Here is a 22,768-nt window from a genome sequence, read left to right on the forward strand (position 1 = left end):
TCATGCAATATACCCAAATAACAAACTTGCACATGTACCCCCCCATTCCCCGAAACTAAAAGCTTTAAAACCTTTAAAAAAGTGTTTTAAAACAACAACCATTTTATTATCTGTCTTAGGAATTTGGGAAGGACTCAGCTGAATGCTGATCAAGATATTTATTGTGCAGTTCAATTCAACAGGCGTTTAATGTGGAAGCCAATCTTTATAATATGTGCCGTGGAGGGAAGCCGCAAAGTAAGTGGCATAATTCTGGCCATCAAGAGGCTTACAATACTGCTAGACTTGCACACTTGAATAGGTACAAAATAATACAGAACACATAGTTAAGATGTTAAAATCATTCCTTTAGCAAATATGTAAGCATCTACAATGTGGCAGGCATTCTACTAGGTGCTGGGTGTATAGCTGTGAACCAACCAAACAAACCAACAAGAAGTCTTACTTCGTGGAGCTTACTTTCAGGAGTCTGTGTGTCAAACAGGAAAAATACAACAACAACCAATAAAACAGTTAATTATATGGGATATTAGAAGATGATAAGTGCCATGAAGACAAGCAAAACAGGGAGAATAGAAAGTGTGTCCGACAGAGTGTAATTAAAACTATTTTTCTGAGTTTAGTTGTTTTTTTGTATTTTTGTTTTGTTTTGTTTTTTAGAGACTTGCTCTGTCACTCAGGCTGGAGTGCAGTTGCACAGTCTTTGTTCACTGCAGCCTCAAACTCCTGGGCTCAAGGGATCGTCCTGCCCAAGCCTCCAGAGTAGCTAGGACTACAGGCTTGAGCCACTGTAGCCAACGGAATTCAGCTTTTTATTGAACATGTCGTAAAAGACCAAAGCTCTTGTCCTCAACATACTCCTCAGATTCTTTATTTGCTTCTGCTTTATTCTCCTTCGTTGAGGCAGTGGTGGTGGAGGGGGCAGGACCTCCTGCTGGTGCAGCACCAGCTGCTGGAGCAGGTCCACTGGCCCCTTCAGTGCAGATGAGGCTCCTGATGCAGACATTGACCAGGGCCTTTGCAAACAAGCCAGGCCAAAAAAATTTAACATTTACACCAGCTGCTTTAATGAGGTCATTGATCTTATCCTCCCTGACAGTCACTTCATCCTCATACAGAATGAAGACCAAATAGATGCAGGCAAGCTGGGAGATTGAGGCCATGGTGTGGGCGAGCCCCTCACCCCCATGTGGACTTAGCTTCCTGGGAAGGGTGCAGAACCTTGGCGGCAGCAGAGGAGAGGACAATTTCAAGAACAGTGGTCAAATAAAATGTTCCTGAGAAAGTAACATTTGAGAAAAGACTTTAAAAGGAGGGGAGAGGATGAGCTTCATGACCATTGGAAAAAGAGCGTTTCAAGCAGAGGAAAGAACATGTGAGAAAACCCTCATGAAGAGATGTATTGGGTATTTTCAAGAAACAAGAAAGTCAGTATGGCTATAGCAAAGTGAGTGAAGGGCAGAATTCGAGGCAAAGTCAAAGTGGGAACAGGAGAGTGGGGAACAAATAGCAAAGGCTCTTTAGGTCTTTGTAAGGACTTACTCAGGCTTTTGGTCTGAGTCAGATGGGAAGTCATTGGAGAGCTTTGCGTAGAGGGGTTACAGGACAAGGATTACTTTGGCTGTTGCACTGGGAATAGTAGGAGGGTAAGGATAAAATTAGGGAGGCCAGCTAGGAAGCCATGGTAATAATCTAGACAGTAAATGCTTGCTTAGACCAGGGCATAATAGAAGAAATGCTGAGAAGTAACCAGTTTTTGAAGGTAGAGTCAGTGGGATTTCTTGATGGACTGGATATACGGTGTGAGAAAAAGAGAAGTCAAGAATGACCATGCTTTTTGCTGGAGCAACTCAAAAGGTAGAGTTTTCATTAATTGGGATAGGTCAGAGAAATGACAGATCAAATGCTGACTAGAAAAATAGCATGTTTGAATGCTGTTGGAATGATCCAACAGAGAGGAAAAAATTAACGATGCAGTAAAGAAGAGAGAATATCTGTAATCAAATAATGAAAGTAGAATCTAGTGCATATATGGAGATAGTCATAGGCAGAGATTTGGATGGTCCATCTACAGAAGCACTAGGGAAGGAAGAGTATATGGTACATAAGCTGGTGAGTTTGCATTGAGATAATGGGAACTGGCAGAATTTCTCTTTTGATTGTTTCTATTTTCTCAGTGAAATATGATACAATTTGTCATTTGAGAATAAGGATGTGGGAAGAAGCATGGGAGGTCTCAGGAGAGAGGAGAGAAGTATGAAATTGTCATCTAGAAGGGTAAGAAAGTGAATGAACCATGGAAAGGCAGTAGTATTACTGGGTTCATTTGAGATTCAAAGTCATTAATGAAAAATGATTCCTGTCAGCATGCATATTAGTCCATTCTCACACTGCTATGAAGAAATACCCAAGACTGGGTAATTTATAAAGAAAAGAGGTTTAATTGACTTACAGTTCCACATGGCTGGGGAGGCCTCAGGAAACTTACAATATGGTGGAAGGCACCTCTTCACAGGATGGCACAAGAGAGAATGAGTGCAAGCAGGGGAAATTCCAGATGCTTATAAAACCATCAGATCTCATGACACTTACTCACTATCATGAGAACAGCATGGGGGAAACTGCCCCATGATCCAATTACCTCCACCTGGTCCCACCCTTGACACATGGGGATTATAATGCAAGGTGAGATTTGGGTGGGGAACAGAGCCAAATCATATTATTCTGCCCCTGGCCTCTCCCAAATCTCATGTTCTCACATTTCAAAACACAATCATGCCCTTCCAACAGTCCCCCAAAGTCTTAACTCATTACAGCATTAACCCAAAAGTCCAAGTCCAAAGTCTCCTCTGAGTCAAGGCAAGTCCCTTTCATCTATGAGCCCATAAAATCAAAAGCAAGTTAGTTACTTCCTAGGTACAATGAGGGTACCAGCATTGGGTAAATACACCCATTCCAAACGGGATAAATTGGCCAAAACAAAGGGTCTATAGGCCCCATGCATTTCCAAAATCCAATAGGGCAGTCATTAAACCTTAAAGTTCCAAAATGATCTCCTTTGACTCCATGTCTCACATCCAGGATGCAAGAGGTAGGCTCTGATGGCCTTGGGCAGCTCTGCCTCTGTGGCTTTGCAGGGTACAGCCTCCCTCCAGGTTGCTTTCAAGGTCTGGTGTTGAGTGTCTGCAGCTTTTCCAGGCCCACAGTGCAAGATGTTGGTGGATCTACCGTTCTGGTGTCTGGAGGATGGTGACCCTCTTCTCACAGCTTCACTAGGTAGTGCCCCAGTGGGGACTCTGTGTGGGGGTTCCCACCCCTCATTTCCCTTCTGCACTGCCTTAGCAGAGGTTCTCCATGAGGGCTACACCCCTGCAGCAAACTTCTGCCTGGACATCCAGGCATTTCCATGTATCCTCTGAAATCTAGGTGGAGGTTCTTAAACCTCAATTCTTGACTTCTCTGCATCCACAGGCTCAACACCACATAGAAGCCACCAAGTCTTGGGGTTTGCATCCTTTGAGGCAATGGCCTGAGCTGTACCTTGGCCTGTCTTAGCCATGGCTGGAGCTGAAGCAGTTGGGACACTGGGCACCATGTCCTGAGGCTGCACAGAGCAGGGAGCCCTGGGGGTGGCCCACAAAACCATTTTTCCTTCCTAGGCCTCCTAGTCTGTGATGGGAGGGGCTGCCACAAAGGTCTCTGACACGTCCTGAAGACATTTTCCCCATTGTCTTGGTGATTAACATTTTGGCTCCTCTTTACTTATGTAAATTTCTGTAGTGGACTTGAATTTCTCCCCCAGAAAATGGATTTCTCTTTTCTAGCCCATCATCAGGCTGCAAATTTTTCAAACTTTTATGTTTTGCTCCCTCTTGAATGCTTTGTCACCTAGAAATGTCTTCTGTCAGATACCTTAAATCATCTCTCTCAAGTTCAAAGTTCCACAGATCTCTAGGGGGCCACCAGTCTCTTTGCTAAAGCATAGCAAGAGTCACCTTTACTCCAGTTCCCCAAAAGTTCCTCATCTCCATCTAAGACCTCCTCAGCCTGGACTGCATTGTCCATATCACTATCAGCATTTTGGTCAAAACCATTCCACGAGTCTCTAGGAAGTTCCAAACTTTCCTGTATCTTCCTGTCTTCTAAGCCCTCCATACTCTTTGAACCTCTGCCTGTTACCCAGTTCCAAAGTCATTTTAATATTTTTGGGTATCTTTACAGCAGCACCCCACTACTCCTGGTACCAATTTACTATATTAGTCTGTTCTCATGCTGCTATGAAGAAATACTGGAGACTGGGTAATTTATAAAGAAAAGAGGTTTAATTAACTCATAGTTCCACATTGCTAAGGAGGCCTCTGGAAACTTACAATCATGGCAGAAGGCACCTCTTCATGGGGCAGCAGGCGAGATAATGAGTGCAAGCAGGGGAAATACCAGGCACTTATAAAACCATCAGATCTTGTGAGACTCACTATCATGAGAACAGCATGGGGGAAACAACTCCCGTGATACAATTACTTCCACCTGGTCCCACTCTCAACACCTGGGGATTATGGGGATTACAATTTGAGGTGAGATTTGGGTGGCGACACAGAGCCAAATCATATTAGCATGGTAGTGCATTTTTCTATAGCCTTGTTCAGCTACATGGGTGCAGGCACACAGTGGGAGAAGAGTTGTATTTTCCCAGACCTAAAGTTTTCTAAGCAAGTATAATAAGAGAGAGAAGCAAGAGGGTGGAGGGTGTACGCAAGAGAGTTTTCGTAATGATAGAGTATGGCATTTAAACGGAATCAAGGAAGTGAGGACATGAAGTGGGGAGGGACAGTGAACAGATGGTACAATTAATGGATTATATTCCATAGAGGAGCTGAAGGATTGTTGTAGATGGGCACAATAGGGAGTGGATTGAAAAGAGAGTGGATGGAGGTCTGAGTAGAGGGTTCAAATTTGCTATGATGGGTGGTTGTAGATTTTGGTAATAATAAGGACTAGGGATTGACCCTTGGAAGACAGCTAGAGGTAAAGAATAAAATCACTGGAGAAGATCAAAGAGCAATGAGGGCAGTGTTGAAAGTAACATCAATATGGAATTGAAATTACCGAGAATGAAAACAAGCGTATTGTTAGAAAGTGGCAGTGAGTCATGAGCTAAAATCTTTGACACATGAGGACGAATGACCAAGAAGTTGATAGATGTCTACAGAAAAAAAAGAGGAAGTGATGATGATAGACTGGTTATATAGATTCAAAGCTGGAAAACTTTAGAGAAAGGGAGAGAGAATGGTATAAAAGCAGCAACGTGGGGCCGGATGCGGTGGCTCACGCCTGTAATCTCAGCACTTTGGGAGGCCGAGGCGGGCGGATCACAAGGTCAGCAGATCGAGACCATCCTGGCTAACACAGTGAAACCCCGTCTCTACTAAAAAAATACAAAGAAAAAAAATTAGCCGGGCAAGCTGGGGGGCGCCTGTAGTCCCAGCTACTCGGGAGGCTGAGGCAGGAGAATGGCGTGAACCCGGGAGGCGGAGCTTGCAGTGGGCCGAGATCGTGCCACTACACTCCAGCCTGGGAGACAGAGCGGGACTCCGTCTCAAAACAAAACAAAAAAACAAACAAACAAACAAACAAAAAGCAGCAATGTGGAACATGAAGTATTCCTTCCCTGTGTTTAAGCCTAGGAGTTTAGGAGGCATGAGAGAGATGGAAGTGACCACTTGAGACTACTCCAGTAGAAACGGAATTCTCAGGGGAGAACCAGGTTTCTGTTACTGAGTTTGCAGAAAAGTTGAGAATATAGAGGTTTTACTGCTAATGGACTGTAGGGTGCAGAGTGCACAATGGAAGGGTTTCAAGAGTTGGGGACTGGAGAAAGAAGAGACATACCTTTATGACAGACCCTCGGTGGAGCCTGATGAAAATAATGGCATTTTCGTATGTAAGATACTGATTATTAATGATGGTGTGAGAAAATTCTTTCCCTCACTTTCTTCTAACTATTACTGTTTTCCACAAACCAGGTCTCTGCCTGCGGCAAGTAGTGTGTACCAGTTCTTTGCTCTGTAAAATGGAGCCAGCTCCTGGAACAGAAAGGGAAAGCAGATAATAAAGGGGCCCTCAGTCAACGAATACTGCAGAATTAGACATAGCCCTTAGCCTACTCTCTAGCCAACTGCCCTGAAGGGGGACTCTGATTTTCTCCCTCTGTTTGGGTGGAGGTACTGGGGTACTTTTGGAGTAGGAAAGAAAAATCTTTGACAGGCCCATTTTAACTGCAGGAGACTTGGCGCTGGAAAACTGTCCCATCTCACTGCAGTGTTAGCCCCTTTGGATTGTGAGAGAAATTGTGTCAGTGGATGGAGGATCATCACCAACACTCCACCAGCCAGACTCTTCTCTAACCAGCTATCAATGAAGATTGGTTTTAAAAAGTAAAAAAGAAAGAAAGAAAATGAATTTCTACTAGGAGCGATGATAAATGGCTCTTCTGAAACTTGTGCGTACTCACAGGAAACAGAATTGTTTTCTGGCTCCTGTCATGGCCTCCTTGGTGGAGATGTCATTTTGCCGATGTCAATGGCTTACAGGGGACTCTCAGTGCTCGTGTGTGTGTCGGAAATTCTCATTCTGTAGCAGGGAATAAGTAGCGCATGTCTTAATGGAATCAGAGACATCATATCCACTAGAATTAGAGCTCAGTCTTCTCAGTTCAATTTTTGTTTTTCAGAACATATTTCTTCAGCAATAACCTGTTTTCTGGCAACTTTCACCAATTTTAAAAAATAAAATTGTGTAAGAGGAAGATGGCTTCAAGCCTGCCTATTACTATTTGAATTTTCTCTTTCTATTTTCTCAGCATGTATCTGCCAACATTTACACTCCTAAAGTCAAATTATGTTGTGACAGAAGAAAAAGAGAAAAGAAAATTTCCTCATGTTACTTGAGAATGAGGAGATTTCGAGGGTCATCAAGGGAAGCATGGAGACTTTTATCAGAGTGACTAGTGCATGACTAGTGTAGTGGTAACATCTAGGGTCTGTAGTTTGACGTTTTTTCCAGGTTCAGCTATGGGGCTTTGGGATATTGACTTTTCACAAAGAGTTGGTCTTTGACAGATTTGATGAAGAACTAGTTTTCAGATCTGCAAATACTTTTCAAAGTCAAATGAGAAAGATAGCCAGGAGGAAGGTCAGCAGGCTGAAGACACAGGATAGGAACTCTGCTGAGACAGATACTAAGGAAAGTCTAAACAAGAGGCCTCTACAGGAAGGGGGCATTTTGGGGAATCCTTGGCTGCAGAAATATTGGATTCCTTTGCATAGTTTTGCTTGAGAATCTGGAAATTAGACTTGTCCCTGGCTACTGTGATCTATTTTAAGCCCTTTTCAGCAGTATAAGAAGAACAACAAAAGTTATAAAGGAATTAAGCTTAATTGTATTTTCTCCATCAAAGCCAATCTTAGCCCGTTTTTGCCTCTTTGTAGCTTACTGCTTCCTGGATGTCATCACATATTTGTGAAAACTTATCTTGCTTTCCATTACAGTATCATGTTTGATTTCTGCTGAATTGTTACTTTCAATGGCACACTCTGGTTATTTCTGGGCTCTTCCTGAGAGCAAAATATTCCACAATCCTAATTTATCAGATGAAAGGAATCCTAAAATTGATGATATACATGAGTAGTAAGTTATCTGAAAATATTTTTATTACCTAGATCTTTATCACATAATTCATTTTAAAATTACAGTTAATCTAGAAAACACCCTTTGGTAATTAACAAAATGTATTTACAATCTCTATTTAGGTTTGAATAGTTATAAGTAAAACATCTAATAGTCATTCAGTGCCATGCATGCAGTTCACAGAATATTTTAGTGTTCATTATTTATTTGATTTCACAAAAGTTCTATGAATAAGAACAGACATTAATATGCTCATTTTACTGATGAAATTAAGGCCTAGGATGGTGAATCTTACAGCCAGTAGGAATTTGAATCCCAGTCTGCTGAGTCTAAGCCATGGAAATTGAAATAATTTATGTAAAGATAAAACCTGCTTTTGTTCATAAGCATGTTCAGGGCAATCATTTACCATGCATTTTCCAATCTCCATATTAGGTTGGCAAAGGTTGATAGTATATGTTACCGGGTTGAAGGTTTTGTGAGGACGATCCAAGTATGGCCTATTGGAGCACATTAGGGAGCAGTTCTGGTAGCTCTTACCTGTAGGGCATTGGTTAAGTCCATGAATAGCTCTGATTTGTCTCAGTTTTCTTAAGTGTAGAATAGGAATGCTACTGCTACCTACCTGTTAGTCATTACTTCAAAGGAAGTTGAGTTGATCTAATGAAATAACTGATGTGAAAATAGTTTGTGGATGGAAGGAAGTATTCAGGAGCTGGGGATGTTGCTCATCACAACCATCTTGGACAAAAGGTCTAGGAGGGAGGAAAGTGGGATTCAACTGGGCTTCATGTGCATACTTAGGGGATGAGTTTTTCTAAGGTTTATATTTCTCCTGTAAAAATGAAAGAGAGGAGACTATGTGAAATAGGCAAAATTTGTCTTAGAACACTCTCTGGGGTGTCTCTCAGACCCTCTCCACTCTTGTCTCTCTCTGCCCCACTCCTAGAACTTCCTTCCATAGCTGATACTGCTGGATAGTTCTTTTCTTTCTTTTTCTTTCTTTCTTTCTTTCTTTCTTTCTTTCTTTCTTTCTTTCTTTCCTTTCTTTCTTTCTGTCTTTTTTTTTTTTTTTTTTTTTTTGATGGAGTCTCACTCTGTTGCCTGGCTGGAGTGCAGTGACATGATCTTGGTTCACTGCAACCTCTGCCTTTCGGGTTCAAGTGATTCTCATGCCTCAGCCTCCCAAGTAGCTGGGATTAAAATTAGCCGGGTGCCCGCTACCATGTTCAGCTAATTTTTGTATTTTTAGTAGAGGTGGGGTTTCACCATGTTGGCCAGGCTGGTCTCAAACTCCTGGCCTCAAGTGATCCGCCCGCCTCGGCCTCCCAAAGTGCTGGGATTAAAGGCGTGAACCACCGTGGTCAGCCTGGAAAGTAACTTTTTCTAAGAGATAGTTGATAGTGATTTGAGGTTTTTTTTTTTTTTTTTTACAAGGCAGACTCTCGCTCTGTCTTCCAAACTGGAGTGCAGTGGCGTGATCAGCTCACTACAGCCTTGACTTCCTGGCCTCAAGAGAACCTCCAGCCTCAGCCCCTCAAGATAACTGGAACTACAGGCATGTACCACCACACCTGGTTAATTTTTGTATTTTTTTGTAGAGGGAGATTTTGCCATGTTGCCTAGGGTGGCCTTGAACTCCTGGACTCAAGCGATCCACCCACCTTGGCCTCCCAAGGTGCTGGGATTACAAGTGTTAGCTGCTATGCCTGGCTAGGCTTGAAGTCTTACTCTCCTCTTCTTCAAGTGATGTTTTCCCATCAACATAATACTCAGAGATTCCATAAAAATGACTCTACATTAGTAGAATTGTGGAGTCATTGGAAGCTTCTTGGAGTGGGTGGGAATATTTTTGTTTTGAACTCTCAAAACGTAGCCTGATTATGGCTGCCTATTACCAAGATTCTCCCCAGATTGAGACTGTCATACTCTGTATTATCATTACATGCCATATGAGAGTGTATCATAAATCCCAAAGGTTATTTTTATTAAAGTGTAATATACATAATATAAAATGCACCATTTAAAACAATGTACAGTTTGATGAGTTTGGACAAACATACCCAACCATATAACCAGTACCACAGACAAGATAAGAGTTTCCACATGCCTCCTTACAATCAATCCTCTGTCCCCACCCTTGGCCCAGCTGCTTTCTGTCATTATAGATTAGTTCTGCTTTCTCTGGAATGTCGTATAGATGGATTCATACAATTTGTAATATTTTGTGTCTTGCTTATTGTGCCATAGATTATGACATAGGCTTTAAGCAAACAAAATTCATCTCGTGTACCTACTCCCTGTATGAACTATACATTTACAGAGAATCTGCAGTTTAGTATACTGAATGCATACTTGGCTAACAATAGTCCATGTGACCATGGTAGCCTGGGTGTGTGGCATTCTGCTGTTCAAGTCAGAAAGAAATGTTTCCAATTAAAAAATCTTGGATGTCTTTTTTTTTTCTTTTTTTTTGAGATGACGTCTGGTCTGTCACCTAGGCTGGAGTGCAGTGGTATGATCTTGGCTGGCTGCAGCCTCCAGCTCCTGGGTTCAAGCGATTCTTGTGCCTCAGCCTCCTGAGTAGCTGGGACTACAGTCACGTGTCACCAGGCCTGGCTAATTTTTGTGTTTTTAGTAAAGGTGGGGTTTCACCATGTTGGTCAGGCTGGTCTTGAACTCCTAATGTCAAGTGATCCGCCCACCTTGGCCTCCCAAAGTGCTGGGATTATAGGCCTGAGCCACTGCCCGGCCAAATCTTGGTTATCTTTAGACAGTTATCAGCTACCAGTTAGTGGCAAAGGTTTAGGGATATGGGAGTTTGTGGACTCCTCTGTTTCTATTTGCAAAATTATTTTAACCTTATACTACATAACATTTTTGTTGCTGATAAGCTGGCATGTATATGAACCAATTTGATTCAATCAAATGGCATTTATTTTATTTTTTAAATTATAGAAATAATACATACTTATTGTAGAAAGTTGGGAAATAAAAGGAAAAGCACAATAAATCTTTTTCCATATTATCTCATAGAGAATAACATTTAATTTCTTGGTACATTTATTTCTAGGTTTTTTTTTTCTAGACAGTTTTTTATATAGCTATGATAATACTATGTATACAATTTTGTACTCTTTTCTCATTTACTATTTTACTTACTTCAGTTCCATGTCATTGAAAACTTCATGAACATAATTTTAAATGGGCATTTATAGTTTGCCTAATATATAGATATAGAGATAGAGATATAGATTGATATAGAAAGAGGGTTTCATTGTTCAAAAAAATGAGATTTATAAAGCACTAGAGATGTTCCCTTTAAAGGGACCCTGTATGGGTCTTGTTTTCCATCAGTATGTATGGATTATGCTTACAACAGAACACAGCTATACCTACTTGATAGAAAAAATGCACAAACTGGCTGCTAAGAGGGTTCTTCCTAACCCTTTTTTCTTAACACCTTAAGTTGCCTACTGGAATTTTCTACCCTGCATGTGTGCTGATTTATTCATACTTCAGTGAGACTACTGCTGAGTTTCCATCTGTCGAATGTCAAATGGACAGAAGTGATTGGGATAGGAGACCAGAGTTATGTTACTTCCTGATGGTAGCTGATGAAGAATATGGGCAATAAAGTTCGGAGTCTTTGCCTTCTGAAGGAGAGTAGCCTTGAAAGACATAAGTGTCAACCATAATGGCTACAGTATTGAAAGTCTGTGTGTCTGCATTGGATGTTCACTGAGCTTAATGGAACTCAAAAGACACCTGCAGATAGGCTGATTTGCAGTAAGATCTCAAATACATCCAAGAGAAAACCTTTGGAGAAAGAACTGAAGGACCTGAATAGGTCCTAAATTGTATATGGAGTAACAATGTTACTTTCCCAGTGATACAATGGACATGAAAAATGCTTAAAAATTCGGTTCGGTTCTGCTTCATAAATATTTATTGAGCTGGCCACTGTGTGAAATACATGAGATGTGACTCTGCAGTAATGGGACTGATTTTTTAAAAACACGGATTCCTAAATTCACATATTTGATTATGGGCTCTTCTTAGAGATTTTAAATATTTTTCCAGAGGTATTTTTACTACTCAAAAACTTTCTAAGGCTGGGTGTGGTGGCTCACACCTGTAATTCCAGCACTTTGGGAGGCTGAGGCAGGCAGATCAGGAGTTAGAGGCCAGGAGTTAGAGATCAGCCTGGCCAACACGGTGAAACACCATCTCTATTAAAAATACAAAAATTAGCCGGGTGTGGTGGTGCGCACCTATAATCTCAGCTACTTGGGAGACTGAGACATGAGAATTGCTTGAACCCAGCAGGCAGAGGCTGCAGTGAGCTAAGATCATGCCACTGCACTCCAGCCTGGGCGAAAGAGTGAGACTCTGTCACAAAAAAAAAAAAAAAAAAAAAAAAAAAAATTCTAACTCCTCTCTTAGAGCTTGCCTTCAACCTGCAGTGTATTTAAAAATTTATGTATATAATATGTATCTATGTGTGTGTGTGTATATATATATGTAATATAGATTTAAGTTTTGTAACTAGTAGGTGTTATTTAGTGTTAGTCTTATGAATGAGGTGGGAAATCAAGATGAGTAATACTCTATCTAAAATGAAGTATGACTGTAGATTACTGAGTCTGATTTTTTTCAGACTTGGTAAGGCTTTTCACTTTCAAAGGAGGAATTCCACTTGTATTGTGTGAAAAAGCAGCATTATTACAATAAGTTTGTTGCTTTTCAAATGAACATGAAGGAAAATACTCATTTAGATATGTGTTCTGATGTGTTTATTAAAAGTTCTAACTCTGTGTATAGAGCCACACCTAGAAAAGGCTATGAACTTTTTGCTTGCTAGGAAAGTGGTGTGGAAACAAACATGAGAGCCTGAGAGCAGGAGCTGGCATCGATTACATGGTGCCGAAATAGGGCTGTGGTGATTGTGTGGTAGGTTAGGAAGCCAGGTGGCTGACTGGGCTCCCCTCTTCGATTTCACACATACCCTCTGTATTAGTCCATTTTCATACTGCTGATAGGGACATACCAGAGACTGGGTAATTTATAAAGAAAAAGAGGTTTAATGAACTCACAGTTCCACGTGGGTAAGGAGGCCTCACAATCATGGCAGAAGGCAAAAGCCATGTCTTACATGGCAGCCAACAAGAGAGAAATGAGAACCAAATGAAAGAGGTTTCCCCTTATAAAACCATCATATCTTGTGAGTCTTATTCACTACCACGAGAGCAGTATGGGGGAAACCATCCCCATGATTCAATTATCTCCCACTGTGTCTCTCCCACAACATACGGGAATTATGGGAGCTACAATTCAAGATTAGATTTGGGTGGGAACACAGCCATACCATATCACCCTTAAAGGTGAAAGTTTGTTTTTGTCAAAATTTTCCCTCTGCTTTTTCCCTTTAGGTTTTCTTTTGCTATTTCTTTTATCCATATTAGCTTATAAGAAAAGGTCTACATCACTGAAAGACCTTGAGTTGAGTGTTTTTGTGTGTGTTAGATTTCTCTTAATTCCGTGTCATCACAGTATTGATTCTAGAAATGGAAAGTAAAGAAGGAAAGCAATTGGCAAGAGTGTTTAGGATGGTTTCTTAAAGTAGGTGGGTGAAACTAATTTGAACTAAATTCTGGAGCATAGAGATGACAGGCATTGCTTCAGTGCACGTGAACTTTACATTTGTATAATGGCTATACATTTTTTGTCTAATGCATGGTAGCATTGTCTTCTACATTAGAATGCAAAATACTTAGGGCAAGGGCTAGTTCTCCTGATCCTTTGTACCTTACAGCATGTAGCAGAGTGCAGGATGTACTTATCAAGGCCCAGCTAAGCTTTCCATGACTCTCTCCTGACAGAGTTGTTACTCCTCGGGTTTCATCACGTTTCTTTAAGCAAACTCTATGTCTTGGTCAGCATGGGCTGCTGTAACAAAATACCAAGGACTGGGTAGCTTAAACAACAGATATTTATTTCTCATAGTTCTGGAAGCTGAGATGTTTAAGATCAAGGTACTCATTGATTCTGTTCCTGATGAGGACTCTCCTGCCTTGTAGATGGCCACCTTCCTGCTGTGTCCTCACATGATGAGGAGGGCAGTGGAGGGGGAAGAGAGAGACAGAGAGATGGGAGGGGTGGGGGGAGCCAGCCAGCATGAGAGCTCTCTGATGTCTCCTCTTACAAGGCCACTAATCCTATTGAATCAGGGTTTCCTCCTTATGACTTCATTTAACCTTAATTGCTAATATAGTTTGGCTGTGTCCTCACTCAAAATCTCATCTTGAATTGTAATCCCCATAATCCCCATGTGTCAAGGGTGGGACCAGGTGGAGGTGATTCAATCATGGAGGTGGTTTACTGCATGCTGTTCTCGTGATAGTGAGTGAGTTCTCATGAGATCTGATGGTTTTATAAGTGTCTGGCATTTCCCCTGCTTCCACTCACTCAGTCCTGCCACCCCATGAAAAGGTACCTTTCACCATGATTGTAAGCTTCCTGAGGAATGTGGAACTGTGAGTCTATTAAACTTCTTTCCTTTATAAATTACGCGGTCTCAGGTATTTCTTCATAGCGTTGTGAGAACGGACTAATACAATTACTTTCTCCAAATATAGCCACACTGGGGTTCAGGGTATCAACATATGAATTTGGGGGAGGCACAGTTCAGCCTATTGTACCCTGGAACATATTATGTGTGTTGTAACAATTTGTTTATGTCTGCTGCCAGTGGACTGTGGTCTTCTCACGTGCTATGCACTGTGCCGGACATTGAGAATCACAAAGATGGATCCTGCCCTCAAGGAGTTGTATTAATTTTCTATTGCTACTGTAACAAGTTACCACATACTTAGTGTTTTCAAACAACACAGATTTATTATCTTACAGTGCCGTGCATTAGAAGTCTGATGCAGGGTTGGTCATGGTGGCTCAAGCCTGTAATTCCAGCACTTTGGGAGGCCGAGGCAGATGGATCACTTGAGGTCAGGAGTTTGAGATCAGCCTGGCCAACATGGTGAAACCCCGTTTCTACTAAAAATACGAAACAAAAAAAAAATAGCTAGATGTGGTGGTGCACGCCTGTAGTCCCAGCTACTTGGGAGTCGGAGGTGAGAGAATTGCTTGAACCCAGGAGGCGGAGGTTGCAGTGAGCTGAGATTGTGCCATTGCACTCCAGCCTGGACGACAAAGCGAGACTGCATCTCAAAAAAAAAAAAAAAATTTTTTTTGGAGGCTCTGAGGGAGAATGTGTTTCCTGCCTTTTCCACTTTCTAGAGGCTGCCTGCATTTCTTGGCTCATGGTCCCCTTTCTCCATGCATCTCGGGGACCCTTCCCCAGTTATATCTCCCTCTGATGCAGATTGGAAATGTTCTCTGCTCTTAAGAATTCATGTGAGTAGAGTGCATCCACTTAGATAATCTAGAATAATCTTCCCATCCCAAGGTCCTTAATTATATCTACAAAGGCCCATTTGCCACTTCAGGAAACATTCACAGGTTCCAGGGATTAAAATGTGGACATCTTTGGGAAGGGCATTATAGTGAAAGAGAGGGACATGTAAATTAGTGACTTAATGCAATATGCCAAGGGCAAGAATGAAAATCTATTCAGGGTACATATATATATGTATATATGTGTATATATGAAAAGCATAGAGGAAAACGGTTGTTTGAGAAATGATGGTTGTAACTGAGGCACTGGCAGCAAGGATGGACAGAAAATGGCTTCTAGGAAGGTAGAATGGGTATTATTTGGGTACCAATTTGGTGTAGGGGATGAAGGAGAGAGAGGGAAAAATGAAGTGAGAATGACTTCCAGATTCTGGATTGGGATTGGGCAGGCTTGTCCCTGAGATAGGGAGCACACTATCTCTAGTGTGAGAATGTATTTATAGGATTCTTTGACTGCAAGTAAAAGAAATATGAGTTGAATTAGGTTAGGCAAAGAGGAGAATTTATTATAAGTTTATTGGCGGGGAGGTTGTACAAGGAACTGAGGACAGGATTACAGTTGGACATCAGACATGAACAAGATTGAGGATACAGGTACTATCCGGATCTTCCCTCTTCTTTCCCTGTGCTCCTCTCCTTGTGTCTTTTCACTTTTCTCTTTCTCTGAAGATGAGCACTTCCCTTCTACTGGTGAAATCTTACTAACCATAGTTGCCAATGTTATTCCTCACTTATAGTTCAGTCACTCAGACAAAGGCCAATCTCTCTCTCAATTGCATACTCCTGGGAAAAGGCTTTGATTGGTAAAGCTCAAGTCAGGTGCCCAATCTGGTGCACACAGCTATGGCCAGGGCTCAGTTTTTCTTCATGCCTTTCTATCTTCATGACTGCTCTGGCTACAACCATGCATTGGATGGAGTGTTTCTTAGAAAAGGTTTCCTGGGCAGACATTCTAATAGAGATCCACTTCAGTGGAGATGCATTCAGTTTTATTTGTCTTTTTCTGCTGCTTTAAAAAAAAGTTGAGATGTAATGTACAGTAAAATGCACATCACTTAAAAGTTTAGTTTGAGGAGTTTTGACAAATGTATGCCCACATCCCAGTCAAGACATGGGACATTTCCATCACTCCAGAAAGTTTCCTCATGCCTCCTACAGTCAATCTCCACTCCTCAAAGACAACCACAGTTCCGATTTCTATTACCATAGAATAGCTTTGCTGGTTGTAGAACTTCACATACATGAAATCAAACCAATATGGTCTTTGGCCTTTTTCATTCTACATAATGTATCTGAGATTGTTGCTATATCAAAAGTCTTTTTTGTGGCAGAGATTATTTCACTATATATATATACCACGTTTGTTTATTCATTCACCTGTTGATAGACATTTGGGTTGTTTTCAGGTTTTTTGACATTATGAACATTTTAATATGTCTTTTTAGAGTTAGAAGGAACTGTACATTAAATGCTGAGATTACAAAAGATGACTTCAGTTTTGAATAAATTGAGTCTGTAGTACTTGTAGGACACTCAGGTAGTATTCTGGGCTCCTCTTGGAGTACAGTCTAAGTTGCAGAAGAGAGACAGGGTCTAGCAATGTAAATTTCTGTAGTCGCCAGCCTTGATTCAGAGTTAAAGCTATGGGAAAGTCCTCAGGCAGAGGACAAACATTAGACAAGAAAATGCCCATATATGAAACCCTGCGAAGCATCAGTATTTGAGGAGCAGACTAAAAAGGAACCGTCTGTGGAGGCTAAGAGAAGCATGGCCATTTATCTTTGTGTCCCGATCATCAGGCACAGGACCCCACACACAGTCACTTCTCAATGTGCTAAATTTCACAGAATGCGTCCAGGGTACCTGGTTCTGGATAGATCCGGTAGAAGGAGATAGACCGGGAGGGCAAATGGCATGAGGAGTCTCACAGGCCAGAGTGATTAAAGGGGTGTATCGGGGCGGTAAACCCTACAGACTCTACCTGTGCTTATGCGGGGCTGGGGAGGACGAGTCATTACAGATGAAGAATTAAGTAAGGTCAGACCACTCAGGGCCTTAGATGGATGTCACATTGAAGAATTTAGACTCCAACAGGCCTGCCACCCTGGGAGGAGTCATCGCGGATTCTGGAGAAGGGCGTGACAGAGGAGATTTCCTTTCGGGAAGTGTAGTCTGGCAGCGGTGCCCCGGTGGTGGCGGCGGCGGTGCTGCTGTTGCTGGTGATCGTGTGGTGGTGTTAGCGGCGATAGTGCTTTCCACTGGGCTTTGGCTTGGTAGCCGCTGAAAGAGAACAACGCTGCCGCTGCTGCTGATTTCATGCCATTTCCTGACCCGGCGCTGTAACTTGGCCTCTGAGCCTTGGCCACAGAACGCAGAGGCCGTGGCATCTGGCCGCAGCTGGGCTGCAGTGCGTGCGCGCCTGGCCTGGTGGTCCGATGGGAAGCCCGGGGCGGGGCAGCCGCGGGGCGGGGGCGGGGCGTCGCGGAGATAGGCCACGCCCCTGCCCGCCCGCGCAGGCGCGCTGCGGGTCGTTAGCTGTCAGAGCCAAGCGGCGGGCTGGCGGCGGGCTCCGACGTCTGCGCCAGGACCTGGCTGGCTGAGCCCGGCGCAGCAGCAGCAGCCAGGGCAGCGCGGCCCCTACTCCCTGTCAGGTCGTAGAGGCGAGCAGGGACCAGCTGGTCGCCGGCCCCTCGGGCAAGATGGGGAACCGGGAGATGGAGGAGCTGATCCCGCTGGTGAACCGTCTGCAGGACGCGTTTTCGGCGCTGGGACAGAGCTGCCTGCTGGAGCTGCCGCAGATCGCCGTGGTGGGCGGCCAGAGCGCCGGCAAGAGCTCGGTGCTCGAGAACTTCGTGGGCAGGTAAGCGCGCAGGGCGCGGAGTAAGGATGCGGCAGTGGGGCGACCCCGCTGCGGGCCGTTGGAACGTGGACGGGCAGCGGGAGCCAGAGGGTGGATGGACCAGGCGCTGCGGTGGAATGGGGGGCAGAGTGGAATGGGGGGCAGAGTGGCGGTGTCCGTGGGGCGGGCGGGGTCCTCCAGCTCTGGGCATCCTCCGTCCCCTGCCACCCCCCGCCTGGTGGCCCTCCTGCCTGCCTTTCATCGTGCGATACAAAGCCATTTCCTCCCTGTCCTCCAGTCGGGGAGTCGGGGGAGGGGTCCGCCCCGGGCTCGACCCCCACCCCCTCGGTGCGCGCCAGCCCCGGGCAGCCTCCCTGCGTAGCGCGCCGAAAGCTTCCCAGTGCCCCTCTCCTGTTTTCCCAGCTCAACACCCCCCTCCTTTTCCTGTCGCCCTCCGTGAGGCTCCCTGTGAGGCTGTGGGGCTTTATCCCCCGAGCCCCCTCCCTTAGGTGGAGATGCTTTCCTTCTCGCCAGGGTTCTCGTTCCTCTCAGCTGTCTACTGTTGCCTGCCTCTAGCTGGGGAGGCGGGGTGCGAGGAGAAAGACGTCGTTTGTTGTGGTGAAGCTTTATCCAGAGACGCTTCCCCACCATTCTCCTCCCGGAGAGTCGAAGAATAAAAGGTGGTGTGTTTGCGTGTGCACCTATTCACAGCTTCAGGCAATTGTGAGAGAGCCCGAGGCACAGACTTGGCAGGGGGTGGACGTGGACTTATGTTGTCCAGGTGCCATGTCATTCCTGCATCATCTCGGAACTGACCAGCATCTTTCTCGCACTCTCTCTGCGCCCCCTCCCCCAGCATCATCTTCCGTTCTCTAAGCTCCTATTTGTCTTGCTAGCCTTCAAGACAACATTCTGAATCTAAATTGTAGCTGTGGTTTTCCTCATGACTCTTAATACAGAAACAGCTAAGGAATTAATTTTCGAATTAGGAATCAGCATTTCTTCCACTGAGCAATTCATGAGGGATTAAGTTACCTTAATGGCCTTGCCTGAAGAGTGCAGACATTTGCTAAGAAAAGCCCATTTAAAAGCATTATGAAAACTGAAATCTGTTTCCTAGTAATAGAAAACCAGGTAGAAATGTACAGTATCCAAGAAAAAATGCTGGCGAGATTGTACTTTATTCTTTTTATTTGGCTCATTCGTGACTTGGGATGCAGAAGGTTCCTGTTTCTGTTCCTTTTTTCTTTTTTTGTTAGTGCTTGGTGATGTGTAGAATTTAGAGCTGAATATTCCCACATTTCCTTTGGAAATGTTAGTGTTCATAAAGTACATATTCCTTTCTCTCAAATGATATTCCATCTCTCAGATGATATTTTTTTTCCTGTATGAACTAGAAAGATAAGAAGCCTAACAAAGTAAAATTGCTGACAATTGGCTTGTATCCTTGAGTAATTCACTTAATCACTACACCTCATTTTTATATTTTTTTTGATTAATGAACAAAGTGAAGGTAAAGCATTTTGCCTACGTCATCTTAGACTTTTGGTGAAGTGATGGATTTCAAACATATAACAGTTACTTTCTTTGATTTGTTGCCAATGAAATTTACGAGATATAAAGTGGCATCCAAAGAGTGAGTTTTGGTAACATATTTTTGGCTTTCCAAAGCCAGGGCATTTTTGTCATGACACCTTAAGAGTTATTTAACTATTTTTGTTTTTTAAACAAATACTTAAAGATTAAAACTGTAAGTATTTCAAATGAAATTACCATATTTTTATGCATCTCCCATATATTTACTTGGATGAGCCTATATTGTATGCAAGTGCATTGTTTGTGGTCAGAGCTTTTGAACTTAATGTCAGTTGTATGCACATACCACAATTCTACATTCTAGGTTTTGAAATTCTAACATTCTTCCTAATGTTATAATAAAATTGTACACATCTCCCCACACTAGCTATGTTCTTTTGGAATAATTTGAAAAAAGAAATGTAGAAGAGTAAAATATTTAAGTTTGAATATTTTTCAAGATGGAATAAAAAATAGGGACAAGTATAAAAATCAGAGCACGTACCAGAATGCATTAGTAATTTGTTGTACTTTAAAAAGTTTTACCACTAATTGACTGTTAGAACGCCAAATCAAAGAAAAGGATGACCATAGAGGAAAAAGGTCATTTAATTCATATGTAAAGTCTTAATTATATGTAGAGATAACACCTGCCTAGCAGAGCTTACATATTAAGGAGAAAATTTAATTAGGAAGGTCATTTGACTTTAATAAAGATTTCGGTCATTGAATTATTGAGGAATCTAATTTCTAATTATAAACCAACCTTAGGGAAAATGGAGTTTTCTATTTTGATAAGTTATTCAGCCTAGGTGGAAAAAATTGTATCCATTTTCTACTGTAACATCTTAGCATTTTCTTGTCATTATCCAGGAATTTTGCAATAAAAACAGTTTCTTTCCTAAGGATGCAACTTTCCTCTTTTACACGAAACAGTTTTCATTTTAAGACTCGATCTAATGTGCAGTTATTGAATGCAGCCATAAAAACCAAGGGTCATCACTTGTGTAAATTCATTGTGTTTGCTCTTGACTCAAGCTTCTTCTCTACAAAATAATGATGCATTTTCTCAACAATCCTCATTTAGTGGACTAACTGTATCTTCTCTCAGTTTGTTTATATTGAGTTTTTTTGGACACCAATGAATGAATTCGGATGTGAATATGTTTACTTCATTTAGCGGTTGCTGTAAAAGCTGATTTTTGGGTGACAGGTTTGAGATTGTTATGAATAAAATGAGTCATGAATGAACCACTTGTTTGTGATTTTCTTGCTGAAGTGATGAACTTGCATATTAATGTGATATAGCATGAGTAACCAGATTGTTCTTTTGGTGGTGCAGGATGAGATATATGCTGGCAATGAGAGGCAGCTTAAGATCTAATGAATAGAATTTGAGACCTATAATCTGAACATAGGGGTTTACTAGCTGGCTTGGGTCTGCCTACTGGTCTGATTTGTATACAGAAGAATTGAATTTATTCAACTATTTTCATTATACGTATACATATATTTATAGTGCAGTGGTGATGATAATAATGGTTAACATTTATAGAGTGCCTGTTATGTGTAGGTACTATTCTGGGTGCTTTTATATGAATAATCTCATTTAGTCCTCATACAACCCCAAAGAGGTAGGTACTCTTATGATTTCCATTTTACAGAAGAGGAAATCAAGATTTAGAGAGTTTGAGTAACTCACTCAAGGATAATTTAATTTAATATAAAAACAGTGGAGCTAAGATTCAACTAGAGGTGTTGATGACCATAACCCATGCTCTAGAACCTCTGTGCCATATTGCATCCTCCATGTTGAGGTTTACCATTTCCTCTGATAAATACTTTTAACTTCTGTCTTGCTCCCTATATAAATGTTACCTATATTAATAAGAAGCTGGCCAGGCACAGTACTCATGCTTATAACCCCAGTATTTGGGGAGGCCAAGGCGGGAGGATTGCTTGAGCCCAGGAGTTTGAGACCAGTCTGGGCAACGTAGTGAGATCTTGTCTCTACAGAAAAACCAAAAAATAATTAGCCAGGTATGGTGGAGCATGCCTGTAGTGCCAACTACTTGGGAGGCTGAGGTAGGAGGATCACTTGAGTCCAGGAGGTCAAAGCTGTAAGTGAGCCATGATTGTGCCACTGCACTCCGGCATGGCTGATAGAGCAAGACTCTGTCTCAAATAATAATAATAAACAAGAAGCTACTATGTTAATGATTTTATTAATATTTATTTACATATGTTTACCTTGCCTCATTTCACAGAAGATTTGAGGTGACCCCTTAGGCAGAAGCAACATTTATTAAAAGATAAGTATTTTTCTTTGCTATATTAGACATTCTTGAAGAGAGTTTTAAAATGTAATTGGATTGTTTATTTAAGTATGTTTTTAGAGTGCATATAACTCATTTATAGAGGTGTTAAGTGAAAACTGTACTAGTTGCTAATACGCAGATGTTTTAAAATGACACGCTTGTTAGAAATATTAGTTTTTCAATGCTAATTATATAGGCAGAAGAGTCCACATTATTTTATTCTAGTCTGAGTGGTAAATAGACTCTCAATTCTGCACAAATAGAAAAAGTTTTTTGATTAATGGGGACGAAATAAAATATTTTTAAAAAGTGATTATGCTGATATTTTTCAAGAAATTGCTTCTAAGTATTATAGTTATTAGATAAATGGTGCTTACAATTAAAATGTCATAATTATTGAGAACCATACTTCATAGTTCCCAAGGTCTATAAATAAAGTGTCAAAACATGAACTTTTCTTCATGCAACAATGAATTGGTAGAACTTGAAATCACAAAAATATTTTTGCTGAATTAACATTATATAATATACTTTTAGGTTATCACAAATTCACAGTTGGTGGTACTTAATTACTACCATCAAATGAATTCCTTTTTTATTAGTAATGTCTGAGAGCAATATAACTAAGATAACTAGACTGGATAGGATATCTCTGTTTTGGAATTTACTTATGATTAACAGTTATCCAAAAATGCACTTGATTTAACTTCTTTAAGAATGAAGTTGGGCAGTCACCCAGAACCTTGGAGGAATGGAAACTTAATGTTTAGCTGGATTAGAGGGTAGGCTATTGGGTTCTCTATCAATGGAGTATACATTTAGAGTGTTAGGTATTCTTCTTAGGTAGTACCTTTTGCTATGGCTAGTAAGTTAAATT

The 22,768-nt window shown here is 41.8% G+C and overlaps 1 protein-coding gene and 1 pseudogene across 24 annotated transcripts in view, besides 2 other annotated features; one reads left to right on the forward strand and one right to left on the reverse strand.

The window, feature by feature from the left end:
* Window positions 802–1,212, reverse strand: RPLP1P3 (ribosomal protein lateral stalk subunit P1 pseudogene 3; annotated as a pseudogene).
* Window positions 17,515–17,744: a silencer, noted in NCBI's record as "silent region_1551". NCBI's record gives its function as "represses an Ori minimal core promoter by ATAC-STARR-seq in GM12878 lymphoblastoid cells {active_cell/tissue: GM12878}" and the evidence as "EXISTENCE:reporter gene assay evidence [ECO:0000049][PMID:35858748]".
* The window catches only part of DNM3 (dynamin 3), a 576,969-nt gene continuing 571,900 nt past the window's right edge, over window positions 17,700–22,768 (forward strand). For all 24 annotated transcript variants that reach the window (NR_146559.2, XM_017000979.2, NM_001350206.2 and 21 more), the window contains exon 1: window positions 17,700–18,019. Coding sequence is in view for 23 of the 24 variants with exons in the window: in XM_017000979.2 (XP_016856468.1) it covers window positions 17,859–18,019 (161 nt within the window). In the remaining variant the exon portion in view is untranslated. The remainder of the gene's footprint in view (window positions 18,020–22,768) is intronic.
* Window positions 17,945–18,124: an enhancer, noted in NCBI's record as "active region_2086". NCBI's record gives its function as "activates an Ori minimal core promoter by ATAC-STARR-seq in GM12878 lymphoblastoid cells {active_cell/tissue: GM12878}" and the evidence as "EXISTENCE:reporter gene assay evidence [ECO:0000049][PMID:35858748]".

Source organism: Homo sapiens, chromosome 1 (genome assembly GCF_000001405.40).
Source record: "Homo sapiens chromosome 1, GRCh38.p14 Primary Assembly".
Taxonomy (NCBI): Eukaryota; Metazoa; Chordata; class Mammalia; order Primates; family Hominidae; genus Homo; species Homo sapiens.